Below are 19850 nucleotides of genomic sequence, written 5' to 3'. Positions count from 1 at the left end.
CAGGTGCGTAAAGCTCTCTCTCTTTTAAGTCAGCACGCTCATAGGATGCCATGCACTGTGCTGTCATCGCAGAGTACAGACTCTCCTAGTAGCCTCCTTGACTCAGGCAGTAAGAAGTGTCCTACTCATCCTCTGTCCTCAGCAGCTACCACATGACATGGTCAGTGCTAAAGAAATGCCTTTGGTTGAATGAAATGGAAAATACTATGAAAATGAGAACTATACGTCAACACAGTAATTTACTAATGTTGTTTCTTCTACGAGCTCTCAAATCAGAGCATTTAACTTCAATATTTCCTTCTCTGTAAAGCAAAATGAAGGAGATGGATAATTATAAAGATTTTTAATAATTATCCCAAATGTAAAAACTCCCAAAAGTAAAAAGAAGCTATGAACATATTTGCTATATCCTTTTAGAACTGTTCGGAGTAAATAAAAAGAATCCATTAGCTATCAGCTATTTTTCTGACTCTTTATATTTTGACCTTAGAATTCACAATAACAATATTATTTTTACTCTACAACACAACAAATCCAGCACCATATTTTAGGAGAGTTGGGCCGTAAAGAAGAAGCTGATGGCAGGAGTGGAGTAATCAGTCAGAAATTCTTAGAACAGCATAGTCATTTTAATAACAACAAAATGGTCCTTCTTCTCCTGAAACAGAAAGTGGAAGGAAAGGGCTAAGGAAGTGGATGTGAAGAGGTCATCTTTGTTGCTGTCAAAGCTGTGGTCAATTACTTTGCCACAAGGCTTTGGCCAGGAAGGAAGTTTATTCCTTTGAAGAGACACCTGGGGAAGGAGGAAAGAAAGGGTTTTTGCTTTCACATTGATTAACCACATCTTAGCTGTCTATTCGTTCATTTCAGTTTAAAGAGAAATCTTCCCAGTGTGTGCTATGCCATGAAGATGAATTAGATTCCTCTGGTGGAGCTTTACAGCCTAGTGATGGCAAAGACATTTTTTTAAAAAGATTCTTTCCAATATTATGTATACATGCTGTTGATGAAGAGGCAAGCTACAGTGGTGGCTTAAAGGCTGGCACAAAGCTGGTCAAGTCAAGCTTCAAGGATGATGAATACAGTGAATCCAGTTTATAAAGGCGGGAAGCCTGTTTCAAGCAGAAAGTAGTCAGGGAAGATGAGGGGGCATTCTGACCTCATCTTTGATGCTGAGAATTTTTGAGTCTGTGTTTATGAATATAAGCTTCTAAGTTTACACTTGACCATCATGGATGGATTTTACCTGGCTAGCAATATTAGGCATAAATGGCATCAAGCCAATTTAGTTCCAGGACAGGGAATGCTGGGAGACAATGATGGATAGTGGTAAAGGGCCAGCCCCGGTCTGTGTGTGTTATGGTTGAAGCACCTGGACTTGCTTTTGTAGGTTACAGTGGCTGCTATAGGGTATGAGGCATGGCAGTGAGGTTAAATCTGGGTTCTGGCTAGATCCTAGGTCCCAGTTTTCTGGGTTCTGGCTAAATCTAGGTCCCAGTTTTTGAGATTCTAAATGCTAGTAAAATGAGTGGAAATTTTTTAAAAAACCCAGCTTGTTTATAAGGTTGTGTACTTTTCATTCTACAAGCAGGTACATAATTTTTTAAAATTTCAAATCTATGATCACAATAAATCATTTCAAAATAGGAAGTGATTTTAAATCTTTTAAATCATCAATTTAAGCTGTAAGTTGTACTGTCTTTGTTTTTCTTATCTCTTCTGCAGTTTGGTGAAAATGTCATCCTGGACCAGCATTTAGTAGACCAACAATTAGGAGCAGTGGAATAGGTCATTCTGGAGCTAGGTAGAGGGGCAATGCTAGGGACAGGGAGCCTAATTAATAACTAAAATAGACACATTATTTCTTTTTCTTTTCTTTTTTTGTTTTTGAGATAGAGTTTCGCTCCTCTTGCCCAGGCTGGAGTGTAATGGTGTGATGTTGGCTTACTGCAGCCTCCGTCTCCCAGGTTCAAGGGATTCTCCTGCCTCAGCCTTCCAAGTAGCTGAGATTACAGGATGCACCACCATGCCTGGCTGATTTTGGTATTTTTAGTAGAGATGGGGTTTGCCATGTTGGCCAGGCTGGTCTCAAACTCCTGACCTCAGGTGATCCACCCGTCTCTCGGCCTCCTGAAGTGCTGGGATTACAGGCATGAGCCACCGCGCCCGGCCAGATAACAGCATTATTTCAAGACTACAAAGTTTAAGATTATGACTCAACACCACATGCCTTTTTCTGATTTTCATCTGACAAACGCCTGTGGTTTAGAGGCCTCCACAGTAAGGATTTTGGATGATTGGTTAAAGAACTTTTGAGGGAGAGGGAACATGACTAGGATGAAAAAGAAACAGATGAGGAAAGTGAAAAAGATGGTGACTTGAAATCAAGACACTAAAGGCTACTGTATTCCCAAACCACGGTGGGTTCTGCCGGTGGCCCCAAGCGGGTGTTTGTTTTGGGTTACTGTGAAGATTAAGAGGTCAGGATCCAGTCTAAAGCAGCTAATGATGTATGTGAGGCCTCTGCATCACTGAGAGAATGAAGTGGAGGAGGTTATAAAACCGACCCCAGGAAGGTGGCTCATGAACGAGAACTCAGGAACAACCACCACATCTGCAGTAATCTCAAGAGAAGTGACTTTTGCACAAGGCAAGGTTGTGCTGGCAGTGAGGAGGAGGCAAAACGGGCATTTGCTAGCGTTATACATCAGGCTTAAATTTAAAGGCAGATTTTGTGTGCTAGGGAGTTGATTCCTAATATTGTTCTGTCCCAGTTGGCCTCACTGTGATTACCATAGAAGGGTTCAGCTGTGGCATTAGTTAAGCTATTCAAGCCAGGCCCTCTCTCTCTTCCTCCCTCCCCCTTTCCCTCTTGTCCTTTCCTTCCTTTCTTTCTTCCATCAAGATGAGTTCTTGCTGTGTTGCCCAGGCTGGAGTGCAGTGGCTATACATAGGTGTGATCATTGCACACTACAGCCTCAAACTCCTGGGCTCAAGTGATCCTCCCACCTCAGCCTCCTGAGCAGCTGGGACTACAGACACATGCCACCACACCCAACTAATTAAGAAAACCTTTTTTTTAGAGACAAGGTCTTGCTATGTTGCCCAGGCTGGTCTCAAACCCCTGGGCTCCAGCGATTCTCCCACCTCAGCCTCCTGAGTAGCTAGGATTACAGGCGTCAGCTACTGTGCCCAGCAGGCCAGACTTTTTCTAGGTCCTTCAAAGCTAACAAGCATCAAGGAAGTTACATATGTGATGCTGAGACTGATTGAGTCAGGTGGCTTTTGTTTTTACTTTCAATTCTAGAGCAAAGTTTCAGTTAACTGGAATTCTGCTAACTCAAATCTCAAGGCCAGAGCTGGTTCTGGGCAAAACCATGGAATGGGCCTCAGAGTTCAATGCCCCATTTACCTGTTTTCCATCAGAGGTTCAGCTTTCAGTTCTAGGTTTCTTAAATTTTAAAGTATTGCTTTTGTTGGGGAACATTTCCATGACCCCAAATAGATTATTTTATGGGGAATTAGGAGTTAACAAGGAGAGAAGATGTTTAATCAGAAGATGGCTGTTCAATGTTACAAACTATTCCAAAATTCATCCTGCAGAGACCTGGAATGGTCCCAGTGATTTCTTGAGTCAATAGTGAAATTAAAAACCTTACTTCTAAGACTTAAATTGGCTTGGCAAATTAGAATTCACTCACATTTCTGGAGTTTGAAATAATCTCTTCCCTCTCTACCAGGACATATCTCAACCTCAAACCTCTACTTCCTGCAACTAACACAGTTTCAAGAAAATATCGGCATAAATTAAGTCATGTAAGCAGCGTCTGTATTACTTATTAAAAGCCTCCCGCTAGGCACAATAGGCACTTGCATTCAAGTGCTGAATTAATGAAAAAGGCATTTTGAATTTTCCATTGAAACGTGCCTTTCCTTTGCACCACAGTTTAACTTCTTTCTAAATGCAGCTTTTAGTAGAAAATGACAACAATTATGAGCCCTTTGAGATTTAAAATCTGAAACTCAAATTATCAAGCCTTAATAAAAGCCTAATAAATTCCTTTATGTGTTATATTATGTCTGCTTAATTACTCCAAGCCCATAAAAGAAGCCATGCAGAAGCAGAGTTTATATGTTAGCTTTACAGAAGAGTGAATTTTGAGACTCTTTTCTCTAAATTTAATTTTTATGTGTATAGTTAAAAATATATATTCAGAGACTTTATAAATCTGAAACGTAGATCACCCCTATAAATATATTAAGTGGATACATTCTCTAGAAAGGCAAATAAGTGATTAACACCACCAAAAAGTTCTTTATCTTAAAAAGAGCATATTCAGTTCAATGGGCATCTCTCTATTATTGCTAACAGTTTATCTCTTACACTGACTGAAAAGAGAGCTACAGCATGCACCAGCTGTAGTTTCTACAAAGGAACTACCATTCAATATTGTTTTTCTATAGCATAAATAATTTTTTAATGAAGCAGAAAGTCATTGTTACTTATAAGATGGTGTTTACTGATCTGGTGCTGTATTGAAAAATACAGCAATCCATAGTATTTTTATTCTGATAACGTCAATCTCATACGATATCGTTGGAGGGGAGGGAAAAAATGTAGCCTTGTCAAGTACATAAGGAAGATGGGCCCATTCAACATAAGGTTTTCATGATAGCTTTTAACTCAGGACAGCAAAGTGATTACTATGAGCTGACACCAAAGGTCAGGCTGGGTGTCACCAGCAACAGGGTGGTTGTCTTCCCTGTTCCTTGACACTACCTTCACTGCACCCCCCCAGCCAACAAAAGGGGCTTCCTGTATTACCATTGATCCCTATTTTTTTTCTTAATTTGCATTTTCTAATCTTCCAGGATCTATTCTCTTGACTGGATTAGCCACTGTTTAAATGAAAATATGTATGTGTCCACAGGGAGGGGAACATCACACACCAGAGCCCATCGGAGAGTGGGGGGCAAGGGGAGGGAGAGCATTAGGACAAATACCTGCACGCAGGGCTAAAAACCTAGATGACGGGTTGACAGGTGCAGCAAACCACCATGGCACATGTATACCTATGTAACAAACCTGTATGTTCTGCACACGTATACCAGAAATTAAAGTTAAAAAATATATATACATATATATATATTTTTGGACACAGACACACACACACACACACACACGTGTGTGTGTGTGTGTGTGTCTGTGTCCAAAAATTACAGTGAATAAAAAAAAAAAAATCTTGGCTGGGTGCGGTGGCTCACGCCTGTAATCCCAGCACTTTGGGAGGCCAAGGAGGGTAGATCACGAAGTCAGAAGTTCGAGACCAGCCTGACCAACACGGTGAAACCCCGTCTCTACTAAAAATGCAAAAATTAGCTGGGCATGGTGGTGGGCGCCTGTAATCCCAGCTACTCAGGAGGCTGAAGCAGAAGAATCACTTGAACCCGGGAGGCAGAGGTTGCAGTGAGCCGAGATTGCGCCACTGTACTCCAGCCTGGGTGACAGAGCGAGACTTCATCTCAAAAAAAAGAAAAAAAGAAAAAAAAGAAAATCTTTATTTCCCATTCGAAAACAACAGATGGGATGAAAACAAAAAGGTGACTGCTCAGGAGCCATTTTAGAGCCAAAAGCGACTTATTGATTCTTCCACGGAAACTTTCAAACCTGGAGATAGGTGACTTAAAGCGGGTCTGCAATGTGGACCACGAATATGCTTATTTTGCCAAATAAGCAAAGTGCTTCCTCAGAGAACTGTTGAAAACTGAGACATGCAAAAAGTAGCCCAAAATCACAAGAACAAATCCTATACATTTGGTGTCACAGAGGGTTTTTGCACATTGCTTGTTCTGGAAATACATGATATGAAAATAATCAGGCCTCATTGCAAAGATCTTTTTCAAGAGCAGCTAGGAAGTCAATAATCTCCCACTCTTGTCTGTTACATAAGCATATTCTCAAACCCAATCTGGGTTGGGTGGAACTATGGAGAAATTTTTGAATCTCAAACTCTGCCTGAAGTAAGGGTTTAATTTTTAAAAGGCTAGCCTATGGTGCGGACTCAGAACAGGAGGTAAGATCTCAACCAAGTGGTGGTTAAGTGAATTAGGTGTCGCTGTTCAGAGTGGATTATCTGTGAGAACCGTGTAAACCAGGACAACTGAGGACATACTTTCACAACACAAAACTTAGTACAGATCTGACTGTCTTCATTTAAGTGTCCCATAACTCTTCACTGAGCATCTACCATAGGCCAGGCATGGCCTCTGCCCTTCTGGAACTTACAATCTAGTAAGGGAGATGGACAGTGATCAAATAATCACACACATATAAAATGGCAAGTGTGATGTATATGAAGAGTAGTGTCACAGGTTGCTATGACAGCTTGTATAAAAGATCATTCTAGTTTCCCTTGGAAGAACAGATTCGAGAGAGGAACAAGAATGGGTATGGAGGGACCAGTCAGAAGGCAACTTCCATAGTCCAAGCAAAAGAAGAGGTTGCTTGGGCTAAAGCTGATTTTAAGTAGAAACACAGGAATATTTCCTAGCTTATAATCAGTGTGAAATGTTTCATTATTGCCAGATTTTTTCTTATCTGAATAAGTTGTATTCCATCCTGGAAATATATTTATCATCCCCAACTCTATTACACTCATTTTTCAAGAATACTATAGAAACTGCTTTTTTTGATGAGACATTACAGGAGTCATTAAAAAAATTAAAAAAAAAAAAAAAAGGAGGTTTCAGAAAACAAGGTCAAGAAGCCCCAGAGGAAGGCATTAGGCAAACTTCTACAGATTATTAACTATGTTGACAATGGTCAAAACAAAAACGTATTTGGAAAGCACCTTTTGTCACAACAAAACTTCATCCCAGAAAGCTACATCATGTATAATTATACACATGATCACAATTATATAAAACTAAAAAGAAATAATTAGGTACATATATGTTTCTAACTGAAAAAAAGGTTAGAAGTTGAAGTTTTAAACACTTAAATGGGAAATTCATGTGAATGTTTATTCTAGTCAGAGTTTTAAAAGATAAACTATTTATCTAAATTAAACTGTTCAGATTACAGAATACATATTTGTCAGTGACAAAATTCACATTAAGTTTCTAGACTTACACTGTCTATTCTTCTATGAATACCATCATACATGCTTTGCTTGTGGTTACACAGGTCTCAAAAGAAAAGAAATGGAAACATAGGAAATTAACAGACATTCATAAAATGAAGTGCATGTTTGTGGTCCAGGGAGTGAAATGGTGGGGCATAAACCCTTCCCAGCTTTAGCAAGGAGGTTAACCAGTGCTGTAGTTATCTGGCTTGGAGCTTCATCATGACCCTTTGAGTCCCCTCCAACCCACCCCCTGGCAAAGCAGGAGCAGCATATCAGATCCCTGCAGAGGCTAAAAGCTGAAGGCAATGCAAAGAAAAGCTTTGACATTCTGCCACTGGAGTGACAGGACAAAATTGACTGTAATAAACAACAGTTTGAGCAAGATAATTTGATGCATTGGGACCTTAAGCTTCTCCAGATGCTGAACTCAGCTTGGGATGGGAGATAAGAGGCAGTATTTACTGTCCTCAATAAAGGTTGGATGAAAGCAGAAAAAAGAAACCTCCTTGTGTAAATTGAAACCAGTTCACTAACATGCGTATCCTCAGATATGCACAGCAATTCACAAACAGAAGAGTATATACCATATTCATATATGTTATAAACACATGTAAAGCATCATACTGACACATATGTATAAAATATAACTTGTCTGTTGGCCTAATAACAGAGAGGAAAGCCAGAAAGAAAAACAAATGCATGTGAAGAATCTTTAAAATGAAAAGAGCACTCTACCAATATTAAGCTCACTTAATATCATATTGCTCCACAAGTATTACAAATAAAATGCCTCTCTGAATAACATTTCTTTTCCAAATAAACAAGCACATGCAGACACAGATTTTGACTGTGAAGATTTAATTCACAACAGAAGGATGTTGCTTATGGAGTGAGAAGTGAAATCACAGTCCCTCTGGGCACACCCAGGTGCTCTGCCAGTTTTCCATAACAAGGCTGAGTGATGTGCTTACATTTCTCAAAGACTGTTTTGTTTCAGTAAGGCCAGGTTAGGTGACTGGTAGATGTATGTCATAATGAAACAGAAGTACTATCAAACTACTGATTTTGGTTAGGATGACGAGGAACAAACAAAGAGGTTGCTTTCATTCGTGAAGATTTTCACTTAGCTATTTTTTTATATTACTTAAGTAAAAACTACAAAAACAAATAAACAAGATATCAACACAAGCATATGGCTTTGTAATTATAAGACACACTGTGTTTGTGTAATCAAGAAAGAACAATGAGAAAAGACAATCTTTCGTTTTTTGTTTGTTTCTTTGAGACAGGATCTCACTATGTTGCCCAGGCTGGTCTCAAACTCCAGGCTATCCTCCCACTTCAACCTCCTGAGTAGCTGGGATTACAGGCATATATACAACAGTGTCTGGCTGAGAAAAGACAATCTTGAGAACAATAAGTAACATTTACTGGCTGCCCATTATCGTGAAAGGAACTGAGTTGGTGACTTTACATAAATGTATCTTGCTTAAAACCTTGCAAGGTGATTATTATCAGCATCATTCTAACACTGCTGGCTAGGAGCACTGGAGCAAATTTTTCCAAGGTCATAGAGCTCATAAGTGATAGAGCAGGGATCAAATCTATGTCGGCTGAATTCTGCCAAGTTCAAAGCGTATCTCTTTCCACCCTACCTACCATCTCTCTAAGCATCACAGTAGAAACAAAGAATATGGCGCAGAAAAAGAAATCAATAAACACATATGAAGAGTCAAAGGAAAATATGCTTAAATCATATGCTGAAAAACCAGCCTAGGCAGAGAGCAGACCCTTCTCCTTGGCAAAGTTTACCAGGCATACAAGGTTCTGTTTCCTACCTACTTTATACAGTTTGATACTCTTAGAAGGATTCCATGCCAAAGCAACCACAGCAGCATGCACACCAGTCTTGCTCCTAGGGATCTCTCTGCACCTCTCCAGCTGCTTGAATTCTAGTAATCCCACCACACAAATTCTCCAGTGGCTGCAGCTCAGAGTTGATCCATGTCTCACTATCTTCCTTACATCCATCGTTCTTCCTTCTAAACCTCCCATTCCCGTTTCAATTCCTTTCAGACAAATTTGTCCCATCACTCCACAAAATGGCACTGGAAAACTTTCCTTTCTCTTTCCCTTCTTTACAAAAGGAATAAATGTTCATTTTAGAAATTTTCAAAAATATAGAAAAAGCACAAAAAGGAAAAAAAGGGATTCTGCTAAAGATAACTAGTGTTAACACTGTAGTGTATATTTTACCAGTCTTATTTTTCCTTTTTTTTTTTTTTTTTTGGAGACAGGGTCTCGCTCTGTCACCCAAGCTGGAGTACAGTGGCACGATCTCGGCTCACTGCAACTTCTGCCTCCTGGGCTCAAGCTATCCTCCCACCTCAGCCCTGCCAGTAGCTGGGACTACAGGCACAAGCTACCATGCCCAGCTAATTTTTTAAAAATTTTTTATAGAGACAGAGTTTCACCATGTTGCCCAGGCTGGTCTCAAACTCCTGAGCTCAAGTGATCCACCTGCCTCAGCTTCCCAAAGTGCTAGGATTACAGGTGTGAGCCACCATGCCCCGCTCAGTCTTATTTTTCCTAAGCAAATGTGTAATAATAATTTTTATGAAATTAGGATCACATACATGTTATCTCGTAATACATTTTCAGTTTTTGAAATATCAGTGAACGCTCCCCTCCCTATCACTAAATATTCTCCTATAACATGATTTTAGTCACTACCATTATGCCATATGAATGCAACATTTATTTAACTCATCACCCACTATGGGATATTTAGGTTGTTCTTTACATTTTATTACTATAAACAGTTCTGCAATGAACATCTTCACAGATTTATGTTTACTCAGATCCGTCCCTGTCCCTTTATAATATATTCTGGAGCACATTTGGAAGGCCTGGACACACACTGTCAGGCTGCCCTTCTCACAGATTTTATGAAATTTCATTCCCAGTAGGACTAATTACTAATGCATGGGAAACAGGTCTCTTGAACATAATGAATAATCACCAAATTGCAAAGTGACTTATAAGTGAATCAACTAATTCATTCAACAAATACTCATTAACCTTCTATACGTGCTAGGCACTGAAATACAGCAAGGAGACACGGTGCCTGCTCTTAAAGAGCTTTCACCGTCTCAAGACAGAAAATGTACTAAGTGATAGCAAAGGTGCTACCATGGGAGGTGATGTCCTGGGTGAGACTAGGCTTCTCCAGGCGCTCCTCAAATCAAATTCCTTCCCCTTCCTGTCACGGCTATGCCCCTTCTCCTTCCATGTTTCTGATTTTCATGTCCAGCTTGAGCTGGGGAAACAGAATATTTTATTTCAAAAGTCTCCTCCCAATTGTACAAGGAATTGGTACTAAATGCAGCAGCTTCTTAAAGCTGTCCTCCCCATCCTCACACACGCTGATGACACATAATATAATTCGGGGGGAAAAAAAACTAGATAAAACAATTGCTTAGGGAAAAATATGTTCTAAACATTTTAAAATCTAAATCTAAATGTTTTCTAAAGGATTTTGAGGAATCGAATTATAAAATTTTTTACAACTGAGTTTCTAGATATATTGTAATAAATGTGGTAAATATTCTAAATGGCTACCAATAGGTCAGCAGTAAACGTTTTAAATAAAAGCAATCAAAATAGACAGCAATTACATTCTTAATGTCATCACTCTTGTATTTTTTTTTTTTGGGGGGGGTGGGGGACGGAGTCTCGCTCTGTGGCCAGGCTGGAGTGCAGTGGCACAATCGGCTCACTGAAACCTCCGCCTCCTGGGTTCAAGTGATTCCCCTGCCTCAGCCTCCTGAGTAGCTGGCATTACAGGTGTGTGCCACCACACCCAGCTAATTTTTTTTTGGTATTTTTAGTAGAGGCAGGGTTTCATCATGTTGGCCAGGATGGTCTCCATCTCTTGACTTCGTGATCTGCCTGCCTTGGACTCCCAAAGTGCTGGGATTACAGGTGTGAGCCACTGTGCCCAGCCTACTCTGGTATTTTAATATTTTACACATTGTAGAGTATTTAGCCACCACTGAAGCTTAACAACTTTTAGAAAGCAATTTACATTTCCATTTCATGTAGACAAGAGTCAAATGATTAAAACATTTAACATTATATCAAAAGACCTAGTTACACCATTGCTTCAGAAACTAAGCAATACATTTTTCTCAAGGAGCAAAAGTATAAGGATTGGTTAATATATCCAGATATTGATAAAATTTTGGTCTTTGAAAATACATGATGACATATGGAGTTAAACATTGTTTTATAGAAAGTAAGTTACTCATTAGTTAATTTGTTTAGGGTATAAAATATTTTCCATTTAAGGGAGAGATGAAGTTGCTAGAAATTAGGGGTACTGGGCCAACTTTGTTTCCTTAGAATGGGTTTTTGATGTATTACTTCTTTGCAGTTAAGTTTAAAGCATGCACATAAAAAGCAAACCCAAATCTTCTATCATATGTGTGTTTCCATGAGTATGGATGATGTGTGTGGCATTTAACCAGTACTTACACGCAAAACATTTTCCCAACCTCTTCCACATGCATTAATTTAATCACCATGACAACCTGTTTAAAATGCACTTTTGAGATTCCCATGTTATGGATGAGGAAACCGAGACACAGGGCAATTAAGTATCTTTCCCAAAGGTACACAGCTAGTAAAAGGCAGGGCTGGGAATTAAAGGCAGGCATGAATATCTATGAGACCCAGATGTCATCTGGAGTCTCCCCGCCCCTTTGGATCTAGTTAGATTGGCTCTAATTTCCCCATCCTTGCCCTGTGTGAAAAAAGTCCAGTGTCCTTCTCAAATGACTTTAAACATCCAGAGGACCTGCATTCTCCAGGTCTTATCTAGCTCTCAATTTTTTGTTTTCTGGCTTAGTTCTGTCCACACAGGGAAAAATGCAAACCACTTAAAACTGAATATTAGTTATTCCCCACTTCTTCCCTCTCTTTTATTACCCTTTCTCTCATTTATGCTAAGAGAAAAAAATCCCTCTATTTTTTTTCTACTGCTGAGCAGTTAGTTCTGTCTTTCCTAGTCTTGTTTCCTTGTAACTCATGTCCTCAGGTTTTAACTTTGTCCATTGAACTGTTTATCAAGATAGTTTCCTAAGCAAAGCCAGCTCCTTTCCTAAGAGGAATCCTGTTGCTAGCTAAGAGAATGATACCCGTCTTCTCATATGGGCACACAAATCTAGAGGTGATACAGCCTACATTATGATTAAGATAAAATATTACTATTGATGATTAAACAGCTGCCATAATTGAATGAATGTCACATATGTTCGCTAACTTATCAGAATAGAGGCAGAAGCAATCTAAATTCAAATGGCATTAGGTTAATTCATTACAGTCTTAAATAAATCCACACAGAGGCAATTCTTTTCTTTGTATTTGAGAGTTCATGGTTAAACGCTTAACGATTAAAAAAAAAAAAAAAAAAAAAAAGAAATCACATACCTCTACCCTGCCAATGAGGTTGTCAATATAGATGACAAGTGTTAAAAAGTCATGTCAAAACACTATTAGAAAAAACAGGTTAAGAATATAATTGGGGACATATACAAATTACTAAATCATATATATCTAATTCATATAAAAATGAATTTTCAAAACATCACCTACTTCTGAACCAGTGAACATGAATTATTCAAATGGCTTTATATAGTAGGGTGATTAAATAGAATAGGAGAGATAAAAGACTCAAAAAAATTTAGAAAATGGAACAGTGTTTCAAAAATTGCTGGTACTCTAAGAGTCGAATGGAAATATTTCTTGAACACTGATGCGCAAGGCCGCCTAAACTGAGATGTGTTTGGTACTCCTTCCTTGGATCTGCGTAGTACATGGCTGGAGTGGCTGAATGATAGGGATCTGTGTTTAGGTAATCTGTTAAACAAAGATCACAAAAGACAAAAAGTAATTCAGTTTTTGAAAACCAGTCTTTGTCCTCACAGTAATAGAAGAAAAGCTGCATTGAGGATATTACAGTTACATATAAAACATAAATAATCATTACGGGCAGTAAATAAGTAAAAGTTCAAAACAAGAGGTATAGCTAGCATAGGCTCCAGAAATAGCATAGACTACGAGCTCCTTGAGAGCAGGGGCTGTCATTAGCACTCATTGTGTCACCTGAATTTGACTGGACGAATGTTCGCTGAGTGAATGTTTGTGGGGGTCATATGACAAGTTGCTGGTTGAATCGGTGTGGCAGTTGTGAGCTGCTTTAGAGAAGGAACTTCATCTTACTCAAGAGTATACCCTTATTACTTGGCTGAATGCCTGTACCTATTGAGTGCTCAATTCATGTTTAGCAAATTAATGGTAATTAGAGAAGACAGCAGGTTAAATTGGAGACTACTGCTATGCCCATGTGAAAGTGAAGGGGAGGAGTTAGAAAAAGGAAGACAGAGACTACTGGGGAACAACTGGTGGGATTCCAGGACAGGCTGAAGGGATCTGATTGAGAGTTTAGGGGAAGAAAGAACTTGGTGAAGAAAGAGAGGACCCTCTTCTGAGACACGAAAGACAGAAAAAAGATCATGAATGAAGCACATAATTATTTGCAAGGGCAAAGGAGAGAAGAGCAAAAACGCCACAGATGTCTCCATCTTCGCACTTAGTGGAGATGATAATACGTATTTTCAAAGTGCACAGGTCACTGTCAGCAAAGACTACTATTAATACTCAGTAGGAGTAAGGATGGAGCAAGTAGAATCAGAGCCTTGAAAATGGCAAAGGCTGAAAATAATCATTGTGTGTGTTGGGGGTGGAGGCCGCACGCCAGGGAGAGCTAGAAAGTTAAAAAAAAAACTGTAGATACGAACTGCATTTTTCAAACTAATGTTTCAATTGTTCAATACTTTTATCAAAAACTGTACTAGGCACTGCAGAGGATTTAGAGAAATGTAAGATATGGCTCTTGTCCTGAAAAGTTAAATAACAACCCAGAGATACTACACGATAGAATGTGAATATATGCCAAAAAAGGGGGAAATGAGATAAGGGCAAATGTTCCATAATGAGAACTTTATTTATTACATATTTATTTTTCTATTAAAGTCTAATAATTATGTCCTCTACTGTTTTTGTTGTTTACAGGCAATAAAAGTCATTTTCTGGCTTTCATATTGGAGTCGTTATTTTAGTAGATATTTGAGTTCTTTTGTTTGTGAAAAAATTGCTTCTCCTCAAGGTTCAATGAACAAAACAGGTCACAGGGCTTTGGCTGAACACAGAGTCATTTCTTAGGTAGACAGAATAGATTCTTTTAAACAAATACCCTTTGTGCGAATGCACGACTGCTTCCCAGAGCTAGGTAACACACAAAAACTGTTACTACTGTCCAGCCACGCTGAGGCTGGGTCGGAGAGGGTTAAACTAAAAATCAAGTTATTGTTGCCTCTCCTTTAGTTCAGTACGGCTTTTCTATAATTCTCTAGAGCTAGGGAGCTGACAGCATGGATTTTTATTGAAGAAATGCTATGACATTTGTTCTAAATGTCACATTTCTCCCCCACAAACTAAAAATAGCATGTCCCCATACTCCTACCCCTAATAAAATTGTTGGCTTGGAAATGACATTGATAAGCAAAATGAAGCATATAACCTTTTCTCTCCTTTTCTAGAAATGTTTTATTTATTCCTGAGTAACATTTGGTATCTTTTGTAGGCTAAGATCAGAGGGACAAATCAGTAAATTTTACTGCTGAAGTAGTCTTTGCAGTATGGGGCTGTCATTTTTAAACCATGTTTCAGGCAGGCACTGCTGTCATTTGAGTAGTGATCTAGTGACTGATAGAAAATATCTGTAGAAATAATGTGTGCTCTCATAGTAATGTGACATTTCATGAGCAGTTTGACTGTTTTCATTACTCTGATTTCAGTCTGGGGAAGAGTAAGTTAGAAAGCCAGTGATGGAATATAGAAAGCCTGTCAGGACGAAGTTGACAGGACAAAACCTGAACTTGGGCTGTTGTATTTCATGGGACTTCATGGGAATTATATGAAGCCATTTTAAATATCAAGTGGACTTGACTGCTTCCTCTGATCAATCCCAAGGTCACTGGTTTAATTGATAAGAGTGTTTGGCTAACTGACACACACTAAAAGCCAAGTTTAAAGCAAGTTTTATGGAGGCTTTGGCTATATTTGCCTTCATTGCCCCAACTAGGTTTGGTTTTAAGGGTGAAGATTTGGTCACACAGGGAAAATTTCATTACAACAAACTTCATAACTACACTGTTCCCTTTAGAGAACACGGCCCTGCACTAAAGGAAATGGCCATGGAAGCAAGCTTGTACAATCGCTAAGGAGGCATCAGGAGTTTTGATTTTTAGCAAGGCCAGTAAGTAATACCTGGGTATTTCTGTGAAAACCTGAATACCTTGCTGGGTATTCATAAATACCCAACATCCATTCTTTTCTTGCCCCCGGAAGCGTGCTGTTTGGTAACTCCTGCAGTTTATGTGGGAAATTTTTAGATCCTCACCATCACTAGTTGGAACAGAAACGTTCAGGACAGGCCAGGTGCGGTGGCTCCCGCCTGTAATCCCAGCACTTTGGGAGGCCGAGGCGGGCGGATCACAAGGTCAGGAGATCGAGACCAACCTGGCTAACAATGGTGAAACCCCATCTCTACTAAAAATACAAAAAATTAGCCGGGTGTGGTGGTGGGCGCCTGTAGTCCCAGCTACTTGGGAGGCTGAGGCAGGAGAATGGCGTGAACCCAGGAGGCGGAGCTTGCACTGAGCCGAGACAGCGCCACTGCACTCCAGCCTGGGTGCCAGAGCAAGACTCTATCTCAAAATAAATAAATAAATAAATGTTCGGGACATTCATTTGTTATTTGGCTGCTGCACATTTTGGAATTCCCGAATTACTCAAGATTGATAGATACGATGGACTCACTTAATGAGTCACCTTAGCCAACTTCCCAGTGTTTGCATCTATGTGTGGCTTCTTTACTGTCTCTCAGTGAACGCAGTCACTTTCAGAAAGGCCTGCCAGCATCACTCCAAACGTTCAATTACTTTTATTAGCATAACTTAAGGATGCAGTGATACATTCCAAGGCTTTTTGGGAATGTGAGGAATCGTGAGGCTTTAGGATGTATCACCAGCAAATGTTGCAAGACCACTACCTACAAATCATTGCAACCAGATAAGTACTATTTCCATTGTCTATCACTGAAGTACTTTTATTACATAAATCATCATTTAAGAATGTTTTTTGGGGCCAGGCGTGGTGGTTCATGCCTGTAATCCCAGCACTTTGGGAGGCCGAGGCGGGCAAATTACTTGAAGTCAGGAGTTTGAGACCAGCCTGGCTAACATGGCGAAACCCTGTCTCTACTAAAAAATACAAAAAAATTAGCCAGGCCTGGAGGTGGGGCATGCCTGTAATCCCAGCTACTTGGGAGGCTGAGGCAGGAGAAACGCTTGAACCTGAGAGGTGGAAGTTGTGGTGAGCTGAGATTGTGCCACTGCACTCCAGCCTGGGCAACAGAGTGAGACACTGTCTCAAAAAAAAAAAAGTTTTTTGAAGTAAATTACATTTCCTGTTCTACTGTAACTCCTTGTCCTCCAAATGTTTACTGACAGTAAGCTTCTTGAGGTAGGCTTCTATCTTAATGGTTTGTATCCCTAAGCACCCAGCAGGCACACAATATATACTGATATCTCCTTTATAATACTAAAGCTAATGTCCCTTATGCTACAAGATGTAAAACTTCATCCTAGTATAATAAGACTTTTAACTAAAAATTCAGTCTTCACTTCATACAGTTTATTCTTTTTTAGTCATGAATGGTAATCTTTTAAAATTGAAAAGTATGTGTACTTATTTTTGGTGAATTAGTCTACAGTTTGCCTTGTGTCTTGCCTATTCCTCTCCCTGAAACAAAATTTTATTATTTATTTCTATAAACTTTTTAATCAATATACTATCACTCTTTGAAATTACAGATGCTTTAAAACTTACCATTTTCTTCAACTTTGAAAACATAATCAGTGTTTTTTAAAAGCCTGAAGCAGTAGTTACTAGTAAAAAAAAGAAAAATATATCCAGAAAAATCTGTAATTAAAAAAATAGGATAAAATACCTATTTATTTGGAACTCTCAACTACAACACTGTGATTCTGTGCTTTGTTCAGGATATACACAACACTGAGAAACAAATCCTTCTGAATTTCATAAAACAACCACACATTCTTCTGTATATGCTCTGTTGTCTATGAATTAAGTTATTTAGATTTTTTGACTAGCTGGTGATTAATAGGTGATTAATACTTTCTACTAGGTTGGATTTTTTTAGAAGGATTAATTAAGAGTATTTATAAGGTGGGGCAGAAAAGGACAACCCCAAATTCACAGTTCTAAGTCAGTCCAGGATTTTCACTTCATGGCTCCTCAGATCACAGTCCCTTCCCTTTTGGTTCATTCATAAACACTCCCACCTTCCTGTCTGCCTTCCCATCCCGCTCCGAAACAAAACATTTATTAACTGAAGCTTCCAACTGTGACAGAAATTACAGTCATGTTAATGGTACAGATGGTGTAAAAAATGCAATCTAAAAACATGATTAAAAAACTCAGGAGCTAGGTAAGCCAAGTTCATCTCAGATATGGCTGACCAGACATCTATGAGGAAGGAAATACACTTTTTTGGTTAATTAGTTTGCTTTTATCCATCCCCGTAATTAGAACATGCTTTCCGCCTACTTAATCCTAAAACAGTCATTAGATTTAATAAACCTTTCTAGACTGCCACAAATGAGAAAATGAATTAGTTAAAAAGTAAGCATTAAGCTGTACTAGCAATATGATCATAACATTCTGTGAATAAAAATGCTTTTGTTTAATTAAAGACAAAAAAAAATCATTTTATAGCTTGTTGCAAAAGATTATACATGATTTTTTCCTTCTTCCTCACGTTGCTTCATAAGGTAGTAAAAACACCAGTGTTGCCTCCACAGATTTTATTTTGCCAAATGGAAGTGATTATTAATCATTCTTTCCAGAAATCAACCCATAATTAGCTTCTTCTCAAGTCAAAGTAAAGTCAGGATCCCACAGGACTCAAGGAGAGAGGGTGGTCTTGGTTGCAGGGCACTAACCAGGAAGCTCAGCTTTGATCACTATCAAGGCTCTTGTGAATTAACAGTGGACAATGGACACAGAGCTACAAGTTAGCATTTGTTATTCTTATTATTTCCACCTCTAAGCCTTTGTGTGATGGTCTGATCTCCCACGGAGTCCAGAATGGCCCCATTACCCCCATCATATTCTATTTGCCAATCTCATAAGGAAGTTAGTTACTCGGGTGTTACGTTTTGGATGATCAAATATTAAAACCATTTTTAAAAGTAAAAAGCAACATACTAATAAAGTTGTGGACTCAAGCTTTCCAGGTTTTTATCTGGTTGAGCATTCTTTATACTAAATAAAATTATCTTTTTTATTTATCCAGAAACATTGGGGGAAAAAAATGACCTTATGTATTAAAAACTCGAAATGGTCCTTGCCTGGACTTGGTGATGCTTGCACAGCAAAAGACTACCTGTTGGACCGTAGGTTCTAGGTATTCACTTCCCCCCCACCAGTCAATCCCCTGCCTGTGCTTGCTGAAGAAGCCTTTGGTCGTGGCGTCCATAAACATTATTGCTGATGGACCATGGACACGTGCAGGCTTCCAAAAATGTAGACTTGGATCTGAATCAGACAGGAAAACTATAGGGGAAAACAGAAGCTTTATTTTGATTATAGAACCAAAGAAATCTTGGATAGAAAGGTAAACTCAAGAGTATCTTTTTTTTTTTTTTTTTTTTTTGAGACGGAGTCTCGCTCTGTCGCCCAGGCTGGAGTGCAGTGGCGAGATCTTGGCTCACTGCAAGCTCTGCCTCCTGGGTTCATGCCATTCTCCTGCCTCAGCCTCCCAAGTAGCTGGGACTACAGGTGCCCACCACCACGCCCAGCTGATTTTTTTGTATTTTTAGTAGAGATGGGGTTTCACCATGTTAGCCAGGATGCTCTCGATCTCCTGACCTTGTGATCCGCCCGTCTCGGCCTCCGAAAGTGCTGGGATTACAGGCGTGAGCCACCACGCCGGGCCAAATTTAAGAGTATCTTAGAGGGACCAGTCTATCCCACAAATAACACTAGAGGCTGTCAAAAAGAGTTTTCCTCCTCTCTCCAATGTTTAACCTTAAGGTCCAATTGGCTCTTTCCACCTTTATTCTGAGCCGAACCTACCTGAATTTGAAGGATAGATTAGAAAGGTTAGGGTCAGAAATCAAAAACACCCTTTCCTCCTGGGCTCTGGGACGTGAACTGTGATTTTTTTTGGTCAATTTTTATGAAGAATGGTACTCCACGAAGACATTAGTCGTTCATGTCAGCCATCTAATTTAATGATTAAATTAATCATTCTAATTTAAGAGCAGAGAAAAATCCAAGACCCAGAAAGCACGTGTTGGAGCTCAGACAAATGCCTGGTCCCTGATACCTAATGCAGTATTTGACGATGTTTTATTTTACTGGGCAACTGTAGTGCATGCAGTCCAGACCCATTAAGGAGAGGAGGAGGATGTAACATTGGATATTAGCAGTTTAGAAGGGTACAATCTCCAAGCCAGTTTTCACATGAATTAATTTTATTAAAAAATGTTACATTCTAGTCCACTAGAACCT

General features: G+C 39.3%; 1 protein-coding gene across 15 annotated transcripts in view, besides 9 other annotated features; it reads right to left on the bottom strand.

Moving 5' to 3' along the window:
- Positions 1-19850, bottom strand: part of CDKAL1 (CDKAL1 threonylcarbamoyladenosine tRNA methylthiotransferase) — a 697948-nt gene that overhangs the window by 66564 nt on the left and 611534 nt on the right. Inside the window, exon 14 of one of the 15 annotated variants that reach the window (XM_017010986.2) lies at positions 608-13046. The exons of the other annotated variants lie outside the window; for them this stretch is intronic. Coding sequence (XP_016866475.1) covers positions 13038-13046 — 9 coding nt within the window. The 3' untranslated portion in view covers positions 608-13037. Of the gene's footprint in view, positions 1-607; positions 13047-19850 lie in introns of those variants that run through there. 15 annotated transcript variants of the gene reach the window in all.
- Positions 1855-1999: an enhancer, noted in NCBI's record as "145 bp 6:21164145 sequence used in MPRA reporter constructs". NCBI's record gives its function as "activates a minimal TATA-containing promoter with rs6935124 allelic activity by MPRAs in C283T melanocytes {active_cell/tissue: C283T}" and the evidence as "EXISTENCE:reporter gene assay evidence [ECO:0000049][PMID:36423637]".
- Positions 1855-2013: a biological region, named in NCBI's record as "melanoma risk locus-associated MPRA allelic enhancers 6:21164131 and 6:21164145".
- Positions 1869-2013: an enhancer, noted in NCBI's record as "145 bp 6:21164131 sequence used in MPRA reporter constructs". NCBI's record gives its function as "activates a minimal TATA-containing promoter with rs6935117 allelic activity by MPRAs in UACC903 melanoma cells {active_cell/tissue: UACC903}" and the evidence as "EXISTENCE:reporter gene assay evidence [ECO:0000049][PMID:36423637]".
- Position 1927: a transcriptional cis regulatory region, noted in NCBI's record as "rs6935124 or 6:21164145 MPRA-significant variant associated with a GWAS melanoma risk locus at 6p22.3". NCBI's record gives its function as "allelic transcriptional activity by MPRAs in C283T melanocytes {active_cell/tissue: C283T}" and the evidence as "EXISTENCE:reporter gene assay evidence [ECO:0000049][PMID:36423637]".
- Position 1941: a transcriptional cis regulatory region, noted in NCBI's record as "rs6935117 or 6:21164131 MPRA-significant variant associated with a GWAS melanoma risk locus at 6p22.3". NCBI's record gives its function as "allelic transcriptional activity by MPRAs in UACC903 melanoma cells {active_cell/tissue: UACC903}" and the evidence as "EXISTENCE:reporter gene assay evidence [ECO:0000049][PMID:36423637]".
- Positions 2081-2225: an enhancer, noted in NCBI's record as "145 bp 6:21163919 sequence used in MPRA reporter constructs". NCBI's record gives its function as "activates a minimal TATA-containing promoter with rs6914598 allelic activity by MPRAs in UACC903 melanoma cells {active_cell/tissue: UACC903}" and the evidence as "EXISTENCE:reporter gene assay evidence [ECO:0000049][PMID:36423637]".
- Position 2153: a transcriptional cis regulatory region, noted in NCBI's record as "rs6914598 or 6:21163919 MPRA-significant variant associated with a GWAS melanoma risk locus at 6p22.3". NCBI's record gives its function as "allelic transcriptional activity by MPRAs in UACC903 melanoma cells {active_cell/tissue: UACC903}" and the evidence as "EXISTENCE:reporter gene assay evidence [ECO:0000049][PMID:36423637]".
- Positions 15776-15920: an enhancer, noted in NCBI's record as "145 bp 6:21150224 sequence used in MPRA reporter constructs". NCBI's record gives its function as "activates a minimal TATA-containing promoter with rs9368282 allelic activity by MPRAs in C283T melanocytes {active_cell/tissue: C283T}" and the evidence as "EXISTENCE:reporter gene assay evidence [ECO:0000049][PMID:36423637]".
- Position 15848: a transcriptional cis regulatory region, noted in NCBI's record as "rs9368282 or 6:21150224 MPRA-significant variant associated with a GWAS melanoma risk locus at 6p22.3". NCBI's record gives its function as "allelic transcriptional activity by MPRAs in C283T melanocytes {active_cell/tissue: C283T}" and the evidence as "EXISTENCE:reporter gene assay evidence [ECO:0000049][PMID:36423637]".

Source organism: Homo sapiens, chromosome 6 (assembly GCF_000001405.40).
Source record: "Homo sapiens chromosome 6, GRCh38.p14 Primary Assembly".
In the NCBI taxonomy this organism is placed as follows: domain Eukaryota; kingdom Metazoa; phylum Chordata; class Mammalia; order Primates; family Hominidae; genus Homo; species Homo sapiens.
The sequence above is the reverse complement of the archived record's forward strand: the minus strand, read 5'-3'. Positions and strand labels throughout refer to the sequence as shown.